The sequence below is a fragment of the Homo sapiens genome, chromosome Y (assembly GCF_000001405.40).
Source record: "Homo sapiens chromosome Y, GRCh38.p14 Primary Assembly".
Classification (NCBI taxonomy): domain Eukaryota; kingdom Metazoa; phylum Chordata; class Mammalia; order Primates; family Hominidae; genus Homo; species Homo sapiens.
The window spans coordinates 5174285-5198013 of NC_000024.10; the positions used below are offsets into that span (position 1 = coordinate 5174285).

Here is a 23729-nt window from a genome sequence, read left to right on the forward strand (position 1 = left end):
AAACAGCTATAAATTAGAATATTTTGTTCTTTCCATTAGAGTGTAAGCTCCATGTGATCATTGTCTGCTTTGTTCCTTCTGTATTCCTAACATGTAGAAAAGTGGCTGAAATATAAGCACATTTTGCCTATGTTAGAGTGTGCTTTAAATAAGTCAGAATTGGTTTTTACATCTTGAAAAATGGGATATTTTATGTTAAAACAACCTCGCAAAATCACTCCCATGTATAGAGAGACATAAGGAAGATACAATTGCTATGAGCAACCTTATTTTTTCAAAATGAGAACTAGACATTTTTGTAGCTTTTCAACTACGGGCATTTATGACTGTATCCTATGTATTAGCAAAAAACAGATCTTTGTTTTTCAGGTAGAAATAGTAACTAGCCATCCATAACATATTATTTTTCTCTCAGGAGACTGTGTTAAATATGAGTGTACTTATATTGTAAAACAACATCTACCACTAGAGTAAAAGCCATTTGAAAGTCAATGCACTACAACTGCTGTTTGCTATGGAACACTGTGCAAGAGAGTACTATTTGAAATATTTGAAACACTTTATTACAGCAGGACAGGAGGTCAACTGATAGTAACAGAATTTATGTGGACTTCATTTTCTGCAAACTTGGAGAGTAGCCTTTCTATTTTTCCATGTGATTTTTAAAGTCATAATTCTAAATATGTCAACATTCATAATAGATCTAGAAATTATTTACATAATCATCAATACTGAAAAGGAAGGGGCAGGCATTCTTTGGACACAAATTAGCATCATAGAGGATTATGAAATTTGGCCATTCTGTGTATTAAATTTCCATTTTAAAGTAATGTTACTAGTGTTGAATCTTTTCTTCTCTGATGCATCAACTATTCCAGTCATCTAAAATTCATTTTTAGCTGAACAAATTTCCATGAAATTATTGTGACTTCTGACAACTTTATTTTTTCTAGTTATTGCAGTCCAACAATCACATAATAAACATCACATAAATTGCATGAATTTTTCTCCTATTGAATTAATAAAGCCATGGAGCAAATTATATTTTCTGATGATTCTTAGGTAAGGATTTGGAAATTTCTTTTTTTTTTTTTCTTTTTTAATTATACTCTAAGTTTTAGGGTACATGTGCACATTGTGCAGGTTAGTTACATATGTATACATGTGCCATGCTGGTGCGCTGCACCTACTAACGTGTCATCTAGCATTAGGTATATCTCCCGATGCTATCCCTCCCCCCTCCCCCGACCCCACCACAGTCCCCAGAGTGTGATATTCCCCTTCCTGTGTCCATGTGATCTCATTGTTCAATTCCCACCTATGAGTGAGAATATGCGGTGTTTGGTTTTTTGTTCTTGCGATAGTTTACTGAGAATGATGGTTTCCAATTTCATCCATGTCCCTACAAAGGACATGAACTCATCATTTTTTATGGCTGCATAGTATTCCATGGTGTATATGTGCCACATTTTCTTAATCCAGTCTATCATTGTTGGACATTTGGGTTGGTTCCAAGTCTTTGCTATTGTGAATAGTGCCGCAATAAACATACGTGTGCATGTGTCTTTATAGCAGCATGATTTATAGTCCTTTGGGTATATACCCAGTAATGGGATGGCTGGGTCAAATGGTATTTCTAGTTCTAGATCCCTGAGGAATCGCCACACTGACTTCCACAATGGTTGAACTAGTTTACAGTCCCACCAACAGTGTAAAAGTGTTCCTATTTCTCCACATCCTCTCTAGCACCTGTTATTTCCTGACTTTTTAATGATTGCCATTCTAACTGGTGTGAGATGATATCTCATAGTGGTTTTGATTTGCATTTCTCTGATGGCCAGTGATGATGAGCATTTCTTCATGTGTTTTTTGGCTGCATAAATGTCTTCTTTTGAGAAGTGTCTGTTCATGTCCTTCACCCACTTTTTGATGGGGTTGTTTGTTTTTTTCTTGTAAATTTGTTTGAGTTCATTGTAGATTCTGGATATTAGCCCTTTGTCAGATGAGTAGGTTGCGAAAATTTTCTCCCATGTTGTAGGTTGCCTGTTCACTCTGATGGTAGTTTCTTTTGCTGTGCAGAAGCTCTTTAGTTTAATTAGATCCCATTTGTCAATTTTGGCTTTTGTTGCCATTGCTTTTGGTGTTTTGGACATGAAGTCCTTGCCCACGCCTAAGTCTTACATTTTCATTATTAAGGATAAAGAATCACCCGTTAGCACTGGTGGGTAGGAAAGCTTCCAGTTGCTCTGTCCGGAGCCCTGGCCTGCTGAAGTTGTAGAGTATTCTAGCTGCAGTAGCAAAGCCTACACCTGCTCATTGGTATGGCTGCTGCTATGGCAGTATTATGGGTGTGGTAATTGGTTCTTCCCTACTTTTCACAAGTGCTAATGGTCACCAGAGCTGGATGCCAGAAAGAAAACTCCCCTAAGTATCCCGAAAACATCCTCTACCTCTCTGCCATTTCTGTCTATAGGAAATTGGGCTTCATGGTAATTCACATTGTAGCAAACTTTCGTGAATATCTGTTCCATATCAAAAAATATATGCACTAAAAATACACTTTAAAAGATCTATTGCTTTTTATTTTAATTGGATATTTATTGCAGTTTAAAGTTGATTTGGCAGTTGATTTTATTAATGAGTAGTCCCTTCAATGTAAAAGTAATAACACTTGACTTCTACTTTGGGATGTAATGTTTGAGGTAAGTTGAACAAAAGAAATTTTATGATTTTTCTTAACTATTTAAATTAGACAACAAGCAGTGTTTTTCTGTTTGTCCCTTGAGTCAGTTGTAAAACTTTCCATTCTAGCTGAAAAGAGGTTACCATTTGTGAACTTTGAAAAATATAAAACTGCCAAAGAATGAATAACTCTAGAATATAATAGCTGTTTTAATGCATTGTTCCTATAACTATATTGGAAGGGGAAAAATCATATTTACTTTGGGACATATTAATCAGCTAGGAATAACAGTTAGTACAACGCACTACAGAGAACAGTTTGGAGGTTTCTCAAAACACTAAAAATTGAGCTACCATATGATCCAGCAATCCCACTCCTGGGCATATACTGAAAAGAAAAGGAATCAGTACATCGAAGAGATATCTGTACTCCTATGTTTGTTGCAGCATTGTTCATAATAGCTAAAATTCAGTAGAAACCTAAGTGTCCATAACAGATGAATGGCTAAAGAAAATGTGGTACATATAAACAACGGAGTACTATTCAGCCATCAAAAAGAATGAGATCCAGACATTTGCAACAGCATGGATGGAACTGTGGAACTGGAGATCCTTATGTTAAGTGAAATAGCCCAGGCACAGAAAGACAAACATGACATGTTCTCATTTATTTGTGGGATCTAAAAGTCAAATCAATTGAACTCATGGACTTGGAGAGTAGAAAGATGGTTACCAGAGACTGGGAAGGTAGTAGGGAGTATGAGGGAGGTGGGGGTGGTTAATGGGTATGAAAAAATGGAAAGAATGAATAAAACCTGATATCTGATAACACAATAGGGTGACTATAGTCAATAATAATTATATATTTTAAAGTAAAGAGTGTAATTGAATTGTTTGTATCTCAAAGGATAAATGCTTGGAAGGATGTATACCCCATTCACCATGATGTCATCATTTTACATTGCATGCCTGTATCGAAACATCTTATATACACCATAAATATATACACCTACTATGTACCCACAAACATTTTTTTAAATGTAAAAATTAAAAAGAGAAACTAATCAAAATCTAAGCAGAGGGACCTTGAAGAGGTATCAGAGTGATAATTTTACAAAGGAAAAATGAACAGGCAGATTTTGTCACTAAATAATCACCAGGGTACCCAAGTTAAAATTCTGCATTTTATATTTAGAAGCAAGTTGGCACAGGGCTGAAACATCAGAAATTCAGTATCCACCAGTAATTTCTTGTTATTGCTAATTCTCATTAGAGGTCTAACCACAAATTGCTATCTACCTTTGATATTTAGATCTTGTTCCTCCATGCATCTTAGTATCTTACATATGAGTTTTATTTTTCTGTAAGTACTATATCCATGTATGCAGATCTTTATTATACATTGTTTTAATATTCTCTATTTACACTGGGAATCAGGTAAAATCAGTTTGTTACTTTGCTGTTATTTAGAAGTGAGGTCTAGAAGTCAGAGAGTTTCTTAAAAAGTTTTAGTATGTAGCTTTGGTAATATGAGCCAAGCTGACATCTACAAGAGCATAAAATAAATATCTATTATATGCACAAATGACAGCATAATAGTAAAGTTGACCGTATTACGAACATTAGTTCACAATCTTAGCATGTATTTTTTTTTTCTTCAACTTTATTTTAAGTTCAGGTGTATATTGCAGGATGTGCAGGTTTGTTACATAGGAAAACGTGTCCCATGGTGGTTTGCTGCACAGATCATCAGATCACCTAGGTATTAATCCCAGCATTGATTAGGTATTTTTCTGGTGCCCTCCTTCCCCTTCCCCCTACCACGACAGGCCCCAGTATGTTGTTTTCCCCCACGTGTCCATAATTGTGGTCCCATAATTCAGCTCCCACTTATACATGAGAACGTGTGGTGTTTGATTTTCTGTTCCTGGTTAATTTGCTGGGAATGATGGCTTCTAGCTTCATCCATATCCCTACAAAAGACAAGATCTCATTCCTTTTTATGGCTGCATAGTATTCCATGGTGTATATGTACCACATTTCCTTTATCCAGTCTATCATTGATGGGCATTTGGGTTGATTCCATGTCCTTGGTATTGTGAATAGTGCTGCAATGAACAGAGGCATGCATGTATCTTTACAAGAGAATAATTTATATCCCTTTGGGTATATATCCAGTAATGGGATTGTTGGGTTAAATGGTATTTCCGCCTCTAGGTCTTTGAGGAATCACCACACTGTCTTCCACAATAGTTGAACTAATTTACACTCACACCAACAGTGTAAAAGCATTCCTTTTTCTCCACAATTTTACCAGCATCTGTTGTTTTTTGAATTTTTAATAATAGCCATTCTGGATGACATGAGATGGTATCTCACTGTGGCTTTGACTTGCCTTTCTCTAATGATCAGTGATGTTGAGCTTCGTTTCATATGTTTTTTACCTACATGTATGTCTTCTTTGGAGGAGTGTCTGTTAATGTCCTTTGCTTACTTTTTGATGGAGTTGTTTGTTTCTTTCTTGTAAATTTGTTTAAGTTCCTTGTAGACTCTGGAATTTAAGCCTTTGTCAGATGGATAGATTGCAAAAATTTTCTCCCATTCTGTAGGCTGTCTCTGTTGATAGTTTCTTTTGCTGTGCAGAAGCTCTTTCGTTTAATTAGATCCCATTTGTCAATTTTTGCTATTGTAGCCATTGCTTTTGGCATTTTCATCATGAAATCTTTGCTTGCACCTATGTCCTAAATCATACTGCCTAGATTTTCTTGTAGGGCTTATATAGTTTTGGGTTTTATATTTAAGTCTTTAATCCACACTGAGTTAACTTTTGTGTAAGGTGTAAGGAAAAAGTTCTAGTTTCAATTTTCTGTGTATGGCTAGCCAGCACTCCCAGCACCAGTTATTAAATAGGGAGTCTTTCACCATTGCTGGCTTTTGTCGATTTTGTCAAAGATCAGACAGGTGTAGTTGTGCAATCTTATTTCTGAGTTCTCTATTCTGTTCCATTAGTCTATGTGTCTGGTCTTGTACCAGCACCATGCTTTTTTGGTTACTGTAGCCTTGTAGTATAGTTTGAAGTTGGGTAGCATGATGCCTCCAGCTTTTTGATGTGAGCATTTAATGCTATAAATTTCCCTTTGGCAGTGTCCCAGAGATTCTGGTACACTGTCTCTTCATTCTCAGTAGTTTCAAAGAACTTCTTGATTTCTACCTTAATTTCATTATTTACCCACAAGACATTCAGGAGCAGGCTGTTCAATTTCCATGTAGTTGTGTGGTTTTGAGTGAATTTCATAATCTTGAGTTCTAATTTGATTGTGCTGAGACTGTTTATTATTATTTCAGTTCTTTTCATTTGCTGAGGAGTGTATTACTTCCTATTATGTGATCAATTTTAGAGTAACTGCCATGTGGCAATGAAAAGAATGTATATTCTGTTGAATTTGGGTGGAGATTTCTGTAGATTTCTATTAGGTCCACTTGATCCAGAGCTGAGCTCAGGTCCTGAATATCTTTGTTAATTTTCTGTCTTGACCTGTCTAATATTGTCAGTACATGTTAATGTCCCTCACTATTATTGTGTGGGAGGCTAAGTCTCTTTTTACATCTCTAAGCACTTGCTTTATGAATCTGGATGTTCCTATATTGGGTTCATATATATTTAGGATAGTTAGCTTTTGAATTGAAACTTTTACCATTATGTAATGCCCTTCTTTGTCTTTTTTAAATCCATATTGGTTTAAAGTCTATTTTATTAGAGACTAGGATTGCAACCCCTGCTTTTTTCTATTTTCCATTTGCTTGGTAAATTTTCCTCCATACCTTTATTTGAGCCTATGTGTGTCTTTGCCCATGAGCTGGGCCTCTTGAAGGCAGCATACCAATGGGTTTGGCTCTTTATCCATCTTGCCATTCTGTGTCTTTTAATTGGGGCATTTAGCCCATTTACATTTAAGGTTAATATTGTTATGTGTGAATTTGATCCTGCCATCATGATGCTAGCTGGTTACTTTGTAGTCTTGTTTATGTAGTTGCTTCATAGTGTCACTAGTCTGTGTACTTTAGTGTGTTTTTGTAGTGGCTGGCAATAGTTTTTCCTTTCCATATTTAGTGCTTCCTTCAGGACCTCTTGCAAGGTAGGCCTGGTGGTGATGAATTCCCTTAGCCTTCGCTTGTCTGAAAAGGATCTTATTTCTCCTTCACTTACGAAATGTAGTTTGGTCAGATACAAAATTCTGGGTTGGAAATCCTTTTCTTCAAGAATGTTGAATATTAGCCCCCAATCTCTTCTGGCTTGTAGGATTTCCACTGAGAAGTCTGCTGTTAGTCTGATGGGTTTCCCTTTGTCAGTAACCTGGCCTTTCTCTCTAGCTGCCCTTTTAACATTTTTTCTTCAATTTTGATCTTGGAGAATCTGATCATTATGTATCTTGGGGTTGATCTTCTCATGGAGTATCTTACTGGGGTTCTCTGGATTTCCTGAATTTAAATGTTGGCCTGTCTTGCTAGGTTGGAGAAGTTCTCCTGCATGATATCCTGAAATATGTTTTCCAAGTTGGTTCCATTCTCCCCATCTCTTTCCAGTACCCCAGTCAGTCATAGATTTGCTCTCTTTACATAATCCATATTTCTCAGAGGTTTTGTTTGTTCCTTTTCATTCTTTTTTCTCTATTTTTGTCTGCCTGTCTTATTTCAGAAAGACAGCCTTCAAGCTCTGAGATTCTATGCTCTGCTTAGTCTATTCTGCTGTCAATACTTGTGTTTGCATTGCGAAGTTCTTGTGTTGTGTTTTTCAGCTCCCTCAGGTCAGTTATGTTTCTCTCTAAACTAGCTATTCTGGCTACCAATTCCTGTATTGTTTTATCATGATTCTTAGCTTCTTTGCATTGGGTTACAACATGCTCCTTTAGCTCAATGTAGTTTGTTATTACCCACTTCTTAAGCCTAATCCTATCAATTCAGCCGTCTCAGCTTCAGCCCAGTTCTGTGCCCTTGCTGGAGAGGTGTTGTGGTCTTTTGGAGGAGAAGAAGCACTCTGGCTTTTTGAGTTTTCAGTGTTTTTGCATTGATTCTTCCTCATATCTGTGGGCTTACCTACCTTCAATCTTTTAGGTTGCTGACCTGTGAATAAGGGTTTTGTGGGGTCTTTTTTGTTGATGTTGTTGTTTTCTGTTTGTTTTCCTTTTGACAGTCAGGCTACTTTACTGTATGGCTGCTGCAGTTTGCTGGGGGTCTGCTTTAGACCCTAGTTGCCTCAGTTTCTCCCATACCTGAAAGTATCACCAGTGAAGGCCATGAAACAGCAAAGATAACAGCCAGATCCTTCCTCTGGAAGCTCCATCCCAGGGAGATACTGATCTGTTGCCAGCCTACATGCACCTGTAGGAGGAGACGGGATACCCATGTTGGCAGGTCTTACCCAGTCAGGAGGAATGAGATAAGGGATCTGCCCCTAGAAGCTGTCTGGCTGCTTTTTGGTAGAGCAGGCATGCTGCATTGAGGGGCTCTCTTCCTCATCTGGACTACCTGAATTCTCCAAAGCTGGTAGGCTGAAGGAGCTGAGTTGGCCAAACCACAAAGATGGAGGCCACCCCTTCCACTGCAAGCTCCATCACAGGGAGGGATCAGAGCTCTATTCATAGTACCCTGGCTGGAGTGGCTGGAGCCCCCTCAGAGAGGTCCTGCCCAGTGAGAAACAATGGATCAGCATCCCACTTAAAGAAGCAGTCTGGCCACCAACTGGCAAGGCAGCTGTGCTGCATTGTTGGGGGGCCCTTCCTTATCTGGACCATCTGTATTCTCCACAGGGGGCAGGCTGGAATAGCTGAGTCTACCAAACCACAGAGATGGTGGCCACCCCTCCCCCCAGGAATTCAGACTCATCTCAGGCAGACTGCAATCTGCTGCCATTGGCTAGCTGGGATTCCAAGCCAGTGGGTCTTAACTTGTGAGGCAACAGGAAGTGGGGCACACAGAACAATGCTGCTTGGCTCACTGGATTCAGCACCCTTCCTAGGGATATGTGCGGATGGATTTCCCACCTTACTGGTGATCCCAAGGCCAGAGCATGTAAAGTTCCTGGGTGTCTGTGTGTGTCTGAGTGGCTGCTCTGCTGAGACTCCACACAGCTCTGTGTGTCAGACCCAAGGCCCTGGTGGTGTGGGCTCATGAAGTGATATCCAGATCCATGTGTTGCAAAGATCCATGGGAGAAGTGTGGTTTTTCAGGTGGGGTTGCGCAATCACTACCACTTCCCTTGGATGAGGGTGGGGCTTCCTTTGGCTCCATGCCACTCCCCCATGGGCCATCACCTTTCCCCACTTTTCTTCATTTTTTTGTGGGTCGAGTTGTTTTCCTAGTCAGTCTCAATGTGAGAACCTGGATATTTCAATTGAAGATGCTGAATTCCCTCACCCCTTCTTATTCCTCTCCGTGAATACTGTGGACCACAGCTGCTTCTAATTAGCCATCTTGGATCGTGTTTTTTGCGACATTTTTAAAATACACCTTTGTAAACTGTTACTTGTTCTTCTCTCACTGTTTAAATTTATGGAAACAACTAAAGCATGTTTCACGAGGAAAACTTCAACAAGTCTGACATATATTTTGATATTATTAATGAGGAATATTCAACAAGAAATGCTAATAAGACAGACCTCAGTATAAAGTGGCACTGTTCCCACTATACAGATAACACATTTTTCCTAGCTATCGGTAGTGTCAATGGCAGTAATAACAGATTCATACTGCCTGATTCCTTTCTCTCTGAAATAATTTAGAGAAGTTAAACTTAATTTTATGTAAAAATGTAAAATTTTCCAATATTTATTTTTGGGGTATTTTTTAAACTTTATTGAGCATAATTGACAAAATTGTTTATAATAAAGTGCACAGCCTGATGATTTGATATATGTGTACATTGTGTGACTGTTACGTCAAGTTAATTAACACATTCATCACTGAAAATAGTTATCCTTTTTTTTTCTTTTTAATGAGAACACTTGACATCAACTCTCTTAGTAAATGTCCAGTCTGCAAAACACTGTAGTCACTATGCGGTATTTTAGAGCTTCAGAACTTATTCATCTGAATATTCAACTGAACATTTATATCCTTTAACCAATGTCTCCCCATTTTCCACACTCTGGATCCTGGCATCCACCATCCTATTCTGTTTCTCTAAGTACAACATTATATTTTCTTTTTAGATTCCATACGTAAATGGAATCATGCAGTATTTTTCTTTCTTTGACTGACTTAAATAAGCCATGTCCTCCAAGTTCATTCAAGTTGCTGCAAATGGTAGGTTTTCCTTTTTTTAATTGCTGAATAATATTCCATTGCATACTACATTTTCTTTCTTTCTTCATTCATTCATTCATTCATTCATCAACTGACATGTTGTTTCCATATCTTGGCTATTGTGAATGCTGCAATAAACATAAGCATGCAGCTATCTCTCTGAGACACTGATTTCATTTCCTTTGGATATATACTCTGAAGAGGGGTTGTTGGATCATATAGTAGTTCTATTTTTTAATTTTTTTGAGGAAACTCCATATTGTTTTTTCATAACAGCTGTACCAATTTATATCCCCAACAGCAGTGTGCAAGTGTTCTCTTTCCTCTACATCCTCACCAATACTTGTTATCTTTTCAAATTTGATAATGACCATCTAAATAGGTGTGAAGTAATATCTGCTTGTGATTTTAATTTGCATTTCCCTGATGATTAGTGATGCTGAGCACCTTTCCTTGGCCATTTGTATATATTCTTTGGGAAAATGTCTATTCTTTTACCCATTTTTAAATTGTATTATTTGGTTTTTGTTTACTCTTGAGTTGTGTTTCTTATATATTTTAGATATTAACCCCCTACGAGATAAACATTTTCTTTCATTCTTTAGGTTGCCTCTTCATTTTATTGTTTGTTTCCTTTGCTGTGTATAAGTTTTTTAGTTTAATGCAATTCCACTTGTTTATTTTTGCTTTTGTTGCTGTAATTTTGGTGTCATAAAAAAAATCATTACCAAAACCAATGTCAAGGAACTTTTCCCCGATGTTTTCTTCTAGGAGTTTTTGGTGTCAGTTTGTGTTTTTTCACTTTGTTTGTTTGTTGTTGTTGTTGTTTGAGATGGAGTCTTGATCTGTCTCCTACGCTGGAGTGCAGTGGCGCAATCTCAGCTCACTACAAACTCCACCTCCCAGGTTCAAGTGATTCTCCCACCTCAGCCTCCCAAATAGCTGGGATTACAGGCACCCCCCATCATGCCTGGCTAATTTTTGTATTTTTGTAGAGACAGGCTTTCACCATGTTGGCCAGGCTGGTCTTGAACTCCTGATCTCAGGTGATCCACCTGCCTCGGCCTCCCAAAGTTCTGAGATTACAGGCATGAGCCACCACACCTGGCCAGGTTTCAGGTCTTATATTGAAGTCTTTATTTCAAGTTAATTTTTGTAAGTGGTGTAGGGGTGCACTTTTATTTTGAGGGTCTTGCTATCCAGTTTCCCTGACACAGTTTGTTGAAGAGACAATCCTTTTGCCATTGTGTGTTCTTGGTGCTCTCATCTAAGATTAGTTGACTCTATACATGTGGATTTATTTCTGGGTTCTGTATTCTGTTCTATCAGTTTATATGTCTGTTTTTATACCAGCACCATATTGTTTTGTTTACTATAGTTTTGCAATATACTTTGAAATCATAAAATGTGATGCCCCAAGCTTTGTCATTACAGGCCAATATCCTTGATGAACACAAATGCAAAAATCTTCAACAAAATACTAACAACTCAAATTTAACAGCACATTATAATGATCATACACCATAATCAAATGGAAATTATCCCTGAGGTGCAAGAACAGTTCAACATACACAAATCAATAAATGAGATACACTATATTAACAGAATGAAGGATAAAAATTATAGAATCATCTCAACAGATGCAGAAAAACAATTTGACAAGCTTTACCAAATTAGGTAAAGAAAAAATATACCTCAACATAATGAATGTCAAATATGACAAGCTAACAGATAACATCATACTCCAGTGAAAAGCTGAAATCTTTTCTGTTAAGATCAGGAGCAAGGATGTCCACTCTTGCCACTGCTAGTCAACATAGTACTGGAAATCCTAGCCAGGGCAATGAGGCAAGAGAAAGAAATAAAAGGCATCCAAATTGAAAAGAAGAAGTAAAATTGTCTCTATTGGAAGATGACATAATCTTATATACACAACACTCTAAAAACTCTGCCAAAAAAATTACTAGAATGAATAAACGAATTCAGTAAAGTCACAGGGTACAAAATCAACAGGGAAAGATCAGATGCATTTCTATACACTAACAATGAACTCTCAAAAGGAGAAATTTTAAAAGCAATACCATTTACAGTTGGGTATTAGTCTCTTCTCATTCTGGTAATATAGACATACCTGAGATTAGGTAATTTATAAAGGAAAAGGTTTAATTGACTCACAGTTCAGCATGTCAAGGACTCAGGAAACTTACAATCATGGCAGAAGAGGAAGCAAACACATCCTTCTTCACATGGCAGCAGCAAGGAGAAGTGCCTGTGAAAAGGGGGAAAAGCCCTTATAAAACCATCAGATCTCGTGAGAATTCACTCACTGTCATGAGAACAGCAGGAAGGTAACCACCCCCATTATTAAATTACCTCCCACCAGGTCTCTCCCATGACACATGGGGATTATGGGAGCTACAGTTCAAGATGAGATTTAGGTGGGGACACAGCCAAACCATGTCATTCCACCCCGGCCCCTTCCAAATCTCATGTCCTTATGTTTCAAAACAAAATCACACCCTTCCAACAGTCCTCCAATGCCTTAACTTATTCCTGTATTAAACCAAAAGTCCATGTCCAAAAGTCTTGTCTGAGACAAGGCAAGCCCCTTCTGCCTATGAGCCTGTAAAATCAAAAGCAAGTTAGTTACTACCTACATACAATGGGTCAACAGGTGTTGGGTAAATACATCCATTCCAAATGGGAGAAGTTGGCTAAGAGAAAGGGGCTACAGGCCCCATGCAAGTCCAAAATCCAGTGGGGCAGTCAAATCTTAAAGTTCTAAAATGATCTCCTTTGAATCCAAGTCTCACATACAAGGTGCTGATGCAAGAGGTGAGCTCTCAATGCCTTGGGCAGCTCCATCCCTGTGGCTTTGCAGGGTACAGCCCACCATCCTGGCTGCAATAACAGGCTGGCAATGAGTGTCTGTGGGTTTTCCAGGTGCATGATGCAAGCTGTCAATGGATCTACTATTCTGGGATCTGGAAGACTGTGGCCCTGTTCTCACGGCTCCAGTAGGCAATACCCCAGTGGAGACTCTTTTTGGGGCCTCTTACCCCACATTTCACTTCTGCACTGCACTAGCAGAGGTTCTCCATGAGAACTCCATCCCTGCAACACACCTGTGCCTGGATATCCAGGCATTTACATATATCTTTTAAAATCTAGATAGAAGTTCCCAAACCTCAATTCTTGGCTTCTGTGCACCTGCAGGCCTAACATTATGTGTAAGCTGCCAACCCTTGGGGCTTGCACCCTCCAAAGTAACAGCCTGAGCTATATATTGGCCCCTTTTAATCATGGCTGGGACACAGGGCATCAAGTCCCAAGACTACAGAAAGCAGCAAGGCCTTGGGTCCAGCCAAAAAAAAAAAACATTTTTCCCCCTAAGCCTCTAGGCCTGTGATGGGAGGGGCTACTGTGAAGACCTCTGACATGTCCTGGAGACATTTTCTCCATTGTCATGGCAATTAACATTTGGCTCCCTTTTTACTTATGCGAATTCCTGCTGCCAGCTTGAATTTCTTATCAGAAAATGGGTTTTTCTTTTCTATAGCATCATCAGGCTGCAAATTTTCTGAACTTTTATGTTTTGCTTCCCTTTTCAACATAAGTTCCAATTCCAAACCATATCTTTGTGAATACATAAAACTTAATGCTTTTAACAGCACCCAAATCACCTCTTGAATGATTTACTACTTACAGATTTCTTTTCCTGGATACCCTAAATCATCTCTTTCAAGTTCAGAGTTTCACAGATCTCTAAGGTAGGGGCAAAATGCCACCAGTCTCTTTGCTAGAGCATAGCAAAAGTCACCTTTATTTTACTTCCCAACAAATTCCCCATTTCCATCTGAGATCACCTCAGCCTGGACTTCATTGTCCATACCACTATCAGCATTTTAGTCAAAGCCATTCACCAAGTCTCTAGGAAGTTTCAAACTTTCCCACCTCTTTCTGTCTTCTTCTGAGCCCTCCAAGCTTTTCCAGCCTCTCCCTGTTACCCATTTCCAAAATCGCTTCCACATTTTCAGTTATTTTTACAGTAGCACCCCACTCCTGGTACCAATTTACTGTATTAGTCTGTTCTCACACTGCAAATAAGGACATACCAGAGACTGGGTCATTTGTAAAGGAAAAATATTTAATCAACTCACAGTTCAGCATGGCTGGAGAAGCCTCAGGAAACTTACAATCATGGCAGAAGTAGAAGCGAACATGTCCTTCTTCACATGGTAACAGCAAGGTGAAGTGCCAAGCGAAACAAGGAAAAGCCCCTTATAAAACCATCAGATCTTGTGAGAACTCACTCACCATCACGAGAACAACATGAGGGTAACCAACCTCATGATTAAGTTACCTCCCACTGGGTCCCTCCCACATCATGTAGGGATTATGGGAACTACAATTCAAGATGAGTTTTGTCTGGGGACACAGCCAAACCATATCAAGCAACATCAAAATTAATAAATTTAGGGGCAAATTTAACCAAGGGAGATGAAAGATCTCTACACTGAAAACTATAATGCATCAGTGAAAGAAATTAAAGAAGACATTAATAAATAGATATCCTGTGTTCTTAAATTGAAAGAATTAATATTGTTAAAATGTCCATACCATCCAAAGCAATCTATGGATTCAGTGCAAGTCCTATCAAAATGCCAATGTTACTTTTCACAGAAATATAAAAAAGAATTCTAAAATTCATATGGAACCACCAAGGACCCAGACTAGCCAATGCAAACTTGAGAAACACTGTTTTGTTAGCAGGTCTATTATATAGTTATCAGAGTCTTGCCTAAGACTTGTTATTTATATTGCAAGGTTTTATCCAACTCTTCAGCTAGAAAGAATGCATGTCGTGTTAACCTGATGGTGCTATGTTATATTAATGAACAATATCATTTCTTATTTGAAACCTTAGTTATTATGGCTGCATGAAGATCAAGATCACTTAGGAAGAAAACCATGATGTAACGTTACACTATTGAGCATCACAGTCTTTGAATTAAAATAATACTTTTACATTATCTTTTCTAATTGAAAATGCTCCTGCTAAAGTGTGGGGTTTTCTTTCCAGATTTTCCTCCATCAGCAGGACTTACATGTGCTTTGTTTAGAGAGCTGACAGTTTGTACTAGAGCATACTACAGCTGTGCCTCTCTGGCCTAGCAACATGTGGTGTCAGATGATCTTTAATGACTAGGGTACGGGCTTCAACACTTAGAATCTTTAGGAACAGCAGACAGCTCTTGAAAACAGGAGACATACATAAGGGCAGAGCTGAAGGAAACTGCTAGCGTTTAGTTTAAATGGTGCCAAACCTTACAATCATTTGTGGGTCACTGAGTTTTTTATCTTTTTACAGCTGTTTTTGAGTATCAGTGACAGATAATTTGTAATAGCATTAACATTTTAACAATGCATGAAAAAAGGAAGTATTTTCTTTACTTTTGCATTCAGTAATTTAATGTACATTCAGCTCTTTAAAAGAACAGAGGATAAACTTAAAGTTATTGGAACTAGAGGAAAGTTACGACAATCCTTTATTTTAATGACTTATAATGGAAGTGGGAGATAATATAAAAGACAATGCATGAGAAAGCTGAATATGGAATAATAATAGAAATTACAGTGGTTAAGAAGATTGTTTTTAATTTATCCTGTTTGACAGAGTAAGTTACATTTGAGAGCACACAAGAGTAGAAAAGTTCATTCATACAAACACTGTGTATCACACAATGTATTATTTTTGTATGTCAAGCATGCAGGTGGGCCCTTGAAAATTCCATTTTTGACTTCTTTTTTTTTCCTTTTTATTCACAGCCAAAATAACAATTAGAGGCCATGTACATTAGATGTGCAATTCCCAGCTCTGGCTTTGTTGACAGCAGACATTAGGTAGAGTGGAGTGTCTTCTAGACACACTTGTGAGTTAAACTTAATTTATAGAGGAGGGAACAATTAAGGGACTTGACAATGAAGTCATTTTTACAATTTATGAAACCTGATTTCTTTGTCCCAGCTTAAGATGAATTGACTCTCCATTGATGTTTCTTTATATCTATCTCTTAATAAAAGATCTTGTTCAATTAATAAAATTCTTTAAACAACTATTAGCTATCACTTTAAGAAGTTAAACATTGGCTTACAAGAGAAAGGAAGTCTATTAAAACCATACATTTGATTTTCTCTAATTTTTAGAAGCCCACATTTTGTCAGTTGAAAGTGTCCGCAAAACAGCAGGGGTTTGGTCTAGGTTCTGCTACTCACTGCACAGAAAGCCAATGACTGAGATGACAAGTATTACCAAGGAGGAAGGAAGAAGGCTTTAATTGGGTGCTGCAGCCAAGGAGATGGGAGCTCAGTCTTAAATCCCTCTCCTTGACTGTCTAAAATTAGGTTTTTATATAGTGGGGAAGAAATGTAACAATATTAGAAGATAGGAACTAGAGAGGGGCAAGGAAACAATCATGATGAATGAGGGATCTGGCATCTCATTATCTGGATGCTCTGATCTGGTGAGTTTCAGTTCTTTGATTTTTTTTTTTTTCTGAGAGGCCTGAACATCATTTCCTGAGGAAGGAATGCAGATAAAACAAATATAAGTTTCAAGCTTTAAGACCAGAAGGATCAATATCTATGTTTACCCAAAAACAACTGTCTGTGGGACTATTGGGTCAGTTTCAAGAGAATGAATTTCAAGAGAAAGAATATTTGATGCTTTTGGAGGCAAAATTAACTTATTCAGAATACTATTTCCTAGAATATAAAGAGATGTGTTATTCAACTAAAGAATAGTTTGTGTTCTCACTCATAAGTGGGAGTTGAACAATGAGAACGCATGGACACAGGCAGGGGAACATCACACACCGGGGCCTGTCGGGGGTGGGGGCTGGGGGAGGGATAGCATTAGGAGAAATGCCTAATGTCAATGACGAGTTGATGGGTGCAGCAAACCAACACGGCACATGTATACCTGTGTAACATACCTGCACGTTGTGCACATGTACCCCAGAACTTAAAGTAAAATTTAAAAAATAAATAAAATAATAAAATTGCCTTTCAAAAAACAAAAAAAGAAATATTGAAAAGCTACCCAGTATTTTAACAGGCACGTATTTTTAAAATAAATTTTATTGCATAAAAAAAAAGAATAGTTTGTTGGGTGAAAGGGAATTAATTTTATTTTATTATTTTTAAATTTTACTTTAAGTTCCAGGATACATGTGCAGACCGTGCAGGTTTGTCACATAGCTATACATGTGCCATGGTGGTTTGCTGCACCTATCAGCCTGTCATCTGGCTTTTAAGCCCCGCATACATTAAATATTTGTCCTAATGCTCTCCTTCTCCTCAACCCCCACCCCCCACCCCCCGACTGGCCCCAATGTGTGTTGTTCCCATTTCTGTGTCCATGTGTTCTGATTGTTCAACCCCCACTTATGAGTAAGAACATGCGGTGTTTGGTTTTCTGTTCCTGTGTTAGTTTGCTGAGGATGATGGCTTCCAGCTTCATCCAAGGAGAGATGTTGGAAGGGACCTATTTAGTGTCATTGTTTTCTCCCCTTTTTTTGTCTGTTACCAGTGTGTAGTTGTTAGGATGCTGTGAACAGGCTGTATGAGAATGCTCTAAGACAGGGGTCCCCAAACCGTGGGCCATGGACCGGTACCTATCCATGGCCTGTTAGGAACCAGGCTGCACAGCAGGAGGTGAGCAGTGGCAAGCGCGCATTACCGCCTGAACTTCACCTCCTGTCAGATCAGCAGCGTCATTAAATTCTCACAGGAGCTCAAACCCTATTGTGAACTGCTCAAAGGATCTAGATTGTGCACTTCTTATGAGAAATCTAGCTAATGCCTAATTATCTGAGGTGGAATAGTTTCATCCTGAAACCATTATCCACCCACCCACCCCCACTCTCCAACCATGGAAAATTGTCTTCTACGAAACCAGTCCCTGGTGCCAAAAAGGTTGGGGACCACTGTGGTAGGAGAAGGAGATAAGCAGAAATATTTCCTTGTTTCCAACTGAGCGTTCAACCTTCCCAGAGAGCTGACAAAGTAGAAAAAAGGAAGACCCCCCCTAGCAACATCATATGAGTACAAATTTTAAATTTAAGAGTACTTTATTCTGTTGTCTCTATTTATACAGATTAATATTTAACTTTTTAATAACTATATTAGCAGGAACAACTTAGTTGTACAACAAATCTCTCAAAATAATACTGCTTGTTATAATTTAAAGAGCATCTTTATATTCTCTTCTTTCATTAACAAGGCTGAAAGGAAATATTACTCTGATTTTAGTGATGAGAAATTTATACTCAGAGATTTAGCCTTTTCACCCAGCTAATAAAGGGTAATGCCAGAACTTGAACAATGTCTTCTGAATGCGAGCCATTTGCTTTTGTTTCACGTCTGGTTCTATAAAGTGAATTGCAGTTTTGAGTAGTGCAGTGAATTGAAAAGCAAGCCTTCAAATATGAGTTGATTTTTAAGAATCAACTCTTCACTGTAATAGAAAATCTTCACATTTATTTTTTAAAATTTGATTACACAACATAGTAGGGTTTTTTCCTGCAGAGTGGATTTAGGATGAAAGGTTAAGTTTTCTTTATATTTCCTTCTGTGCTGTTTTAATATTTTTTTCAATAGGTTCACACTGTTAAGTACTTATATTCAAACAATAAAATAACAATAGAAATATTTCAGATTTGTAAATAGTCTTTTTCTCTCCCAAAATACCACCACATTTGTAATTTTTTCTTTAGTTTGTTATCCTGTCTCACAGTTAAAGCGACTGAGTCACAAGCAAATAAAGAGTGTTGGCCAACGTCTCATGGCTAGTTTGTGTACAGCACAAATCTCAGGTTTCTGATTTTAGGCTAGAGCTCTTTGGACAGCAAAAGTGATTTATTTATTTTTCTTTCAAATATCCCCTCTTTTAGTCTTAGCTTAATTTTTCTGAGGCTAATAAGACTTTATAATAATGCATTTCAGGTATGCTTAACCATTTATCATTACATGTTACAGAATGACCTGATGACATGAAAAGTGTGCATGTATCTTTTAAGAAGTTTTTTCAACTCCAGAAGAACTTATCAATTTGCAAATGTCTAATTCACCATGCCACATTGAAATATTGCAATAAAACATTGTGATTTATAACACCATATTGTTATAAATCTAAAAATGGGTGACTTAGTTTAGTCATATTTTGTAGGTTCAAATGCAACATATATGTATAACATGGAATTATTGTTAATGTTGGTAGACATCAATGCAGCTTAGAACTAAAAAAAGGCACGTCTTAATTTCTCTTAGAAAGTCCGAAATCTTACTTTTAGCAATGAAGTTTCACATCCTAATTGAAATATAAACAGAAAAGATGTGTGTTTTCTTTCCCAGCTCTTTTCCATTTGCATGATTATAGATTCTGACAGACGCAAAATATTTATGTATTCAGTGACACCTCTTTTAATTAAAACACTATACAGTATGAGGGTATAATACCAGACCTCTCATTATTACCCAAAGGAATGTAGTTGGTATAAAAAATAGTTGGTTAAAAAGTGATTACCTCAGAAAGGGTGGCTTAATTATATGAGCATTTGCTTGACTCTGGAGAATACTTTGCAAGCCCAAGGACAACATTTACAAGTATAACCACAACTTTTCTTGTACCAATTTACACTATAAAATTAGTATCCAAACAAGTCTTTGCTCACTTTATGTGGATTACTTGGAAAATAGTGTCTTGTTAGATTAAAAAAAAAGTGATTGTTTAAAAAAGTAGCATCACATTAGTAAAATTCAAGATATTGTTTAGAATTTACTAAGCGTCAAGGTAGTGAAGATGATCAAAGAAGGATCACCATACGCTAGACATGGTGGCTCACACCAGTAATGCCAACACTTTGGGAGTCTGAAGGTGGGAGGGTCGCTTGAGCCCAGGAGTTTAGAACAGCCTGGGCAACATAGCGAGACTCTTTCTCTACAAAAAATAAAAAATTACCAGGGCGTGGTGGTATGCTCCTGTGTCCCAACTACTCGGGAGCCTGAAGTGGAAGGATCACTTGAGCTTAGGTGGTTGAGGCTGCAGTGAGCAGTGACTGTGCCACTGCACTGCAACCTGGGTGACTGAGTCACCCTTGTCTCAAAAAAAAAAAAAAAAAAAAAGGAAAAAAGCAAAAGCAAAAGGGATCATCGTGTTTGGCAGCATGGCTTGGTGGAGAGTGCGGCCTAGAATCCTGATTCCGCCAGTTCTTTTTATGTGACTTGGGTAATTTATTGAATCCCACTAAGGTTCAGCTTCCTCATTTGTAAAATAAGTAAAATAATGTGTCCGGAATTGGTTCTTTCCGGTGGGTTCTTGGTCTCGCTGAGTTCAAGAAGCTGCAGACCTTCACAGTGAGTGTTACAGCTCTTTAAGGCGGTGTGGACCCAAAAAGTGAGCAGCAGCAAGATTTACTGCGCACAGTGAAAGAACAAAGCTTCCACCACGTGGAAGGGGACCCCAGCGGGTTGCCACTGCTGGCGAGGGTGGCCTGCTTTTATTGCCTTATTTGGCCCCACCCACATCCTGCTGATTGGTCCATTTTACAGAGAGCTGATTGATCCATTTTACAGAATGCTGATTGGTCCATTTTGACAGCGTGCTGATTGGTGTATTTACAATCCTTTAGCTAGATAGAAAAGTTCTCCAAGTCCCCTACCCGATTAGTTAGACACAGAGCCCTGATTGGTGCGTTTACAAACCTTTAACTAGACACAGAATGCTGATTGGTGTGTTTACAATCTTTTAGCTAGACAGAAAAGTTCTCCAAGTCTCCACCCAACCCAGAAGCCCAGCCACTTCACCTCTCAATAATACCTCTCTTACTTGGCTTTAATGAAAATTAGCAATAAGATAAAAGTTCCTAGTGCAGCACCTCATAGTGCAGCCGCTCCTAGGCACTGAATAAAGTTAGTTCTGATGATTATTCTGCCTTTCGAAAACTTCAGGTGCAATAAAAAATGATGCAACAGGAAAATATTCAGGTTCTGCATCTAAAAATTAAGATATAGTGATACGTACCTTACTGAAATAGGGTGATATGGTGAAGCACCTAACACAATGTTGGACCTCATAAGCTTTCAATGATTGTTCATTACTTTCAGATTTTCAATGAGCTATAAAGACAAAATGCAAATGAAATTGAAAGGCATTGTCAACCATAGCGTCATGCAGATGCTACTTAATATAACTTTAAAATACATAGAAATTTTAATAAGTTTGTTCCCTTAGGAAAATAGCTAAGGAAAAATGCATAATTACCTGCTCTTTACTTATTTTCACTATTTAATAAAGCATTACAGGAAAGGTAAGAGTTGTATAGCTCAAGTAAGCAAAGAAAGCTTTCTTTTCTTTTTGATTTTGCACTTGGGGAATTTTTCTTGATCTTCTTCTTCAAAAGGAGCAGAGAATTCATTTATGTGTACCTGGGGTCTTGATTATTACAAAAAAAAAGAAGAAACTGAACAACTTTGCATACTTTAGTAAAACAAAATAATTCAATTAAGCTTATTCAGGGCATCTTGGTGTTTTAGCAAAGTTGAAAAGGACACTTGACTCTTGTTAAGGGGAGCTCTGTAGACATTTATGTCTGGGGGAATATGTTACTCAGTTTGCAGCATGATAATAAGCTCTAAACCAGGGAACTATATCAGTTGCATAGACAATGAATCCAGTCTGGAAGATAAATTGTTCACTGAGGGTAAGGTGGCTGAATTTCTGATATAAGTGGCCATATAATCATGAGAGCTTTACCTCTAATAAAAACATATATTTGGTTCTTAAAAAACAGTCACCTTATCTTTAATGAGCAATTTGACTTTTAGGCTTAATGCATTAGTCTCTTAAGTGACAAATTTTTGTCTGTGCTAACAACTAGTTGGCAGAATTTTGACAGTGAACAGAAGCTGTCAGACAAACCCATAATATTTCCTCCAGTAGCTGATCTGTTCAATTTCAAGCATTGAAAGCTTATGTAAAACATGGAGAGAACTTGTTTTATGGTTTCTGGGATAATTTTTTTATATTGCTTGATAAGCTCTAAATGAACAAGTATCTACATGTAAGACATACTTTAGAAATAAAACTACCTGAAATGGTGGTTGCCAGCATTTGAGAGTTGGGGTATTGGGGAGATGTTTGTCAAAGGACACAAACTTTTAATTAGATACAAAAAATAAGTTCAAGAAAACTATTGTGCATCATGGTGAGTATAGTTAATAACAATATACTTGAAAATTGCTGAACTAGTTTACAGTCCCACCAACAGTGTAAAAGTGTTCCTATTTCTCCACATCCTCTCCAGCACCTGTTGTTTCCTGACTTTTTAATGATTGCCATTCTAACTGGTGTGAGATGGTATCTCATTGTGGTTTTGATTTGCATTTCTCTGATGGCCAGTGATGATGAGCATTTTTTCATGTGTTTTTTGGCTGCATAAATGTCTTCTTTTGAGAAGTGTCTGTTCATGTCCTTCGCCCACTTTTTGATGGGGTTGTTTGTTTTTTTCTTGTAAATTTGTTTGAGTTCATTGTAGATTCTGGATATTAGCCCTTTGTCAGATGAGTAGGTTGCGAAAATTTTCTCCCATGTTGTAGGTTGCCTGTTCACTCTGATGGTAGTTTCTTTTGCTGTGCAGAAGGTCTTTAGTTTAATTAGATCCCATTTGTCAATTTTGGCTTTTGTTGCCATTGCTTTTGGTGTTTTGGACATGAAGTCCTTGCCCACGCCTATGTCCTGAATGGTAATGCCTAGGTTTTCTTCTAGGGTTTTTATGGTTTTAGGTCTAACGTTTAAATCTTTAATCCATCTTGAATTGATTTTTGTATAAGGTGTAAGGAAGGGATCCAGTTTCAGCTTTCTACATATGGCTAGCCAGTTTTCCCAGCACCATTTATTAAATAGGGAATCCTTTCCCCGTTGCTTGTTTTTCTCAGGTTTGTCAAAGATCAGATGGTTGTAGATATGCGGCGTTATTTCTGAGGGCTCTGTTCTGTTCCATTGATCTATATCTCTGTTTTGGTACCAGTATCATGCTGTTTTGGTTACTGTAGCCTTGTAGTATAGTTCAACCATTGTGGAAGTCAGTGTGGTGATTCCTCAGGGATCTAGAACTAGAAATACCATTTGACCCAGCCATCCCATTACTGGGTATATACCCAAAGGACTATAAATCATGCTGCTATAAAAACACATGCACACGTATGTTTATTGCGGCATTATTCACAATAGCAAAGACTTGGAACCAACCCAAATGTCCAACAATGATAGGCTGGATTAAGAAAATGTGGCACAAATACACCATGGAATACTATGCAGCCATAAAAAATGATGAGTTCATGTCCTTTGTAGGGACATGGATGAAATTGGAAACCATCATTCTCAGTAAACTATCGCAAGAACAAAAAACCAAACACCGCATATTCTCACTCATAGGTGGGAATTGAACAATGAGATCACATGGACACAGGAAGGGGAATATCACACTCTGGGGACTGTGGTGGGGTGGGGGGAGGGGGGAGGGATAGCATTGGGAGATATAACTAATGCTAGATGACGAGTTAGTGGGTGCAGCGCACCAGCATGGCACATGTATACATATGTAACTAACCTGCACAATGTGCACATGTACCCTAAAACTTAAAGTATAATAAAAAAAAAATTAAAAAAAAAATTGCTGGTGACA

The 23729-nt window shown here is 37.9% G+C and overlaps 1 protein-coding gene across 5 annotated transcripts in view; it reads left to right on the forward strand.

The window, feature by feature from the left end:
• PCDH11Y (protocadherin 11 Y-linked) overlaps positions 1-23729 on the forward strand; it is a 741933-nt gene that overhangs the window by 173989 nt on the left and 544215 nt on the right. The gene's annotated exons all lie outside the window — the stretch shown is intronic.